This window comes from Homo sapiens, chromosome X, assembly GCF_000001405.40.
Source record: "Homo sapiens chromosome X, GRCh38.p14 Primary Assembly".
Taxonomy (NCBI): domain Eukaryota; kingdom Metazoa; phylum Chordata; class Mammalia; order Primates; family Hominidae; genus Homo; species Homo sapiens.
The window spans coordinates 76,324,991-76,328,823 of NC_000023.11; the positions used below are offsets into that span (position 1 = coordinate 76,324,991).

Consider the following 3,833-nt stretch of genomic DNA (forward strand, 5'->3'; position numbering starts at 1 on the left):
AGCATGAAGGGTTGTTGAATTTTGTCAAAGGCTTTTTCTGCATCTATTGAGATAATCATGTGGTTTTTGTCTTTGGCTCTGTGTATATGCTGGATTACATTTATTGATTTGCGTATATTGAACCAGCCTTGCATCCCAGGGATGAAGCCCACTTGATCATGGTGGATAAGCTTTTTGATGTGCTGCTGGATTCGGTTTGCCCGTATTTTATTGAGGATTTTTGTATCAATGTTCATCAAGGATATTGGTCTAAAATTCTCTTTTTTGGTTGTGTCTCTGCCCGGCTTTGGTATCAGAATGATGCTGGCCTCATAAAATGAGTTAGGGAGGATTCCCTCTTTTTCTATTGATTGGAATAGTTTCAGAAGGAATGGTACCAGTTCCTCCTTGTACCTCTGGTAGAATTCGGCTGTGAATCCATCTGGTCCTGGACTCTTTTTGCTTGGTAAACTATTGATTATTGCCACAATTTCAGAGCCTGTTATTGGTCTATTCAGAGATTCAACTTCTTCCTGGTTTAGTCTTGGGAGAGTGTATGTGTCGAGGAATGTATCCATTTCTTCTAGATTTTCTAGTTTATTTGCGTAGAGGTGTTTGTAGTATTCTCTGATGGTAGTTTGTATTTCTGTGGGATCGGTGGTGATATCCCCTTTATCATTTTTTATTGTGTCTGTTTGGTTCTTCTCTCTTTTTTTCTTTATTAGTCTTGCTAGTGGTCTATCAATTTTGTTGATCCTTTCAAAAAACCAGCTCCTGGATTCATTGATTTTTTGAAGGGTTTTTTGTGTCTCTATTTCCTTCAGTTCTGCTCTGATTTTAGTTATTTCTTGCCTTCTGCTAGCTTTTGAATGTGTTTGCTCTTGCTTTTCTAGTTCTTTTAATTGTGATGTTAGGGTGTCAATTTTGGATCTTTCCTGCTTTCTCTTGTAGGCATTTAGTGCTATAAATTTCCCTCTACACACTGCTTTGAATGTGTCCCAGAGATTCTGGTATGTGGTGTCTTTGTTCTCGTTGGTTTCAAAGAACATCTTTATTTCTGCCTTCATTTCGTTATGTACCCAGTAGTCATTCAGGAGCAGGTTGTTCAGTTTCCATGTAGTTGAGCGGCTTTGAGTGAGATTCTTAATCCTGAGTTCTAGTTTGATTGCACTGTGGTCTGAGAGATAGTTTGTTATAATTTCTGTTCTTTTACATTTGCTGAGGAGAGCTTTACTTCCAAGTATGTGGTCAATTTTGGAATAGGTGTGGTGTGGTGCTGAAAAAAATGTATGTTCTGTTGATTTGGGGTGGAGAGTTCTGTAGATGTCTATTAGGTCTGCTTGGTGCAGAGCTGAGTTCAATTCCTGGGTATCCTTGTTGACTTTCTGTCTCGTTGATCTGTCTAATGTTGACAGTGGGGTGTTAAAGTCCCCCATTATTAATGTGTGGGAGTCTAAGTCTCTTTGTAGGTCACTGAGGACTTGCTTTATGAATCTGGGTGCTCCTGTATTGGGTGCATAAATATTTAGGATAATTAGCTCCTCTTGTTGAATTGATCCCTTTACCATTATGTAATGGCCTTCTTTGTCTCTTTTGATCTTTGTTGGTTTAAAGTCTGTTTTATCAGAGACTAGGATTGCAACCCCTGCCTTTTTTTGTTTTCCATTGGCTTGGTAGATCTTCCTCCATCCTTTTATTTTGAGCCTATGTGTGTCTCTGCATGTGAGATGGGTTTCCTGAATACAGCACACTGATGGGTCTTGACTCTTTATCCAACTTGCCAGTCTGTGTCTTTTAATTGCAGAATTTAGTCCATTTATATTTAAAGTTAATTTTGTTATGTGTGAATTTGATCCTGTCATTATGATGTTAGCTGGTGATTTTGCTCATTAGTTGATGTAGTTTCTTCCTAGTCTCGATGGTCTTTACATTTTGGCATGATTTTGCAGCGGCTGGTACCGGTTGTTCCTTTCCATGTTTAATGCTTCCTTCAGGAGCTCTTTTAGGGCAGGCCTGGTGGTGACAAAATCTCTCAGCATTTGCTTGTCTGTAAAGTATTTTATTTCTCCTTCACTTATGAAGCTTAGTTTGGCTGGATATGAAATTCTGGGTTGAAAATTCTTTTCTTTAAGAATGTTAAATATTGGCCCCCACTCTCTTCTGGCTTGTAGGGTCTCTGCCGAGAGATCCGCTGTTAGTCTGATGGGCTTTCCTTTGAGGGTAACCCGACCTTTCTCTCTGGCTGCCCTTAACATTTTTTCCTTCATTTCAACTTTGGTGAATCTGACAATTATGTGTCTTGGAGTTGCTCTTCTCGAGGAGTATCTTTGTGGCGTTCTCTGTATTTCCTGAATCTGAACGTTGGTCTGCCTTGCTAGATTGGGGAAGTTCTCCTGGATAATATCCTGCAGAGTGTTTTCCAACTTGGTTCCATTCTCCACATCACTTTCAGGTACACCAATCAGACGTAGGTTTGGTCTTTTCACATAGTCCTATATTTCTTGGAGGCTTTGCTCATTTCTTTTTATTCTTTTTTCTCTAAACTTCCCTTCTCGCTTCATTTCATTCATTTCATCTTCCATCGCTGATACCCTTTCTTCCAGTTGATTGCATCGGCTCCTGAGGCTTCTGCATTCTTCACGTAGTTCTCGAGCCTTGGTTTTCAGCTCCATCAGCTCCTTTAAGCACTTCTCTCTATTGGTTATTCTAGTTATACATTCTTCTAAATTTTTTTCAAAGTTTTCAACTTCTTTGCCTTTGGTTAAAATGTCCTCCCGTAGCTCAGAGTAATTTGATCGTCTGAAGCCTTCTTCTGTCAGCTCATCAAAATCATTCTCCATCCAGGTTTGTTCTGTTGCTGGTGAGGAACTGTGTTCCTTTGGAGGAGGAGAGGCACTCTGCGTTTTAGAGTTTCCAGTTTTTCTGTTCTGCTTTTTCCCCATCTTTGTGGTTTTATCTACTTTTTGTCTTTGATGATGGTGATGTACAGATGGGTTTTCGGTGTAGATGTCCTTTCTAGTTGTTAGTTTTCCTTCTAACAGACAGGACCCTCAGCTGCAGGTCTGTTGGAATACCCTGCGGTGTGAGGTGTCAGTGTGCCCCTGCTGGGGGGTGCCTCCCAGTTAGGCTGCTCGGGGGTCAAGGGTCAGGGACCCACTTGAGGAGGCAGTCTGCCCGTTCTCAGATCTCCAGCTGCGTGCTGGGAGAACCACTGCTCTCTTCAAAGCTGTCAGACAGGGTCACTTAAGTCTGCAGAGGTTACTGCTGTCTTTTTGTTTGTCTGTGCCCTGCCCACAGAGGTGGAGCCTACAGAGGCAGGCAGGCCTCCTTGAGCTGTGGTGGGCTCCACCCAGTTCGAGCTTCCCGGCTGCTTTGTTTACCTAAGCAAGCCTGGGCAATGGCGGGCGCCCCTCCCCCATCCTCGTTGCCGCCTTGCAGTTTGATCTCAGACTGCTGTGCTAGCAATCAGCGAGATTCCGTGGGCATAGGACCCCTCTGAGCCAGGTGTGGGATATAGTCTCGTGGTGCGCCGTTTCTTAAGCCGGTCTGAAAAGCGCAATATTCGGGTGTGAGTGACCCGATTTTCCAGGTGCCGTCCGTCACCCCTTTCTTTGACTCGGAAAGGGAACTCCCTGACCCCTTGCGCTTCCCAGGTGAGGCAATGCCTCGCCCTGCTTCGGCTCGCGCACGGTGCGCACACACACTGGCCTGCGCCCACTGTCTGGCACTCCCTAGTGAGATGAACCCGGTACCTCAGATGGAAATGCAGAAATCACCCGTCTTCTGCGTCGCTCACGCTGGGAGCTGTAGACCGGAGCTGTTCCTATTCGGCCATCTTGGCTCCTCCTCATCAT

General features: G+C 43.7%; 1 annotated feature.

Moving 5' to 3' along the window:
• Nucleotides 2,916-3,539: an enhancer, noted in NCBI's record as "H3K27ac-H3K4me1 hESC enhancer chrX:75548305-75548928 (GRCh37/hg19 assembly coordinates)". NCBI's record gives its function as "activates a minimal SCP1, AML or CMV promoter by ChIP-STARR-seq in naive H9 embryonic stem cells {active_cell/tissue: H9 hESC(naive)}" and the evidence as "EXISTENCE:reporter gene assay evidence [ECO:0000049][PMID:30033119]".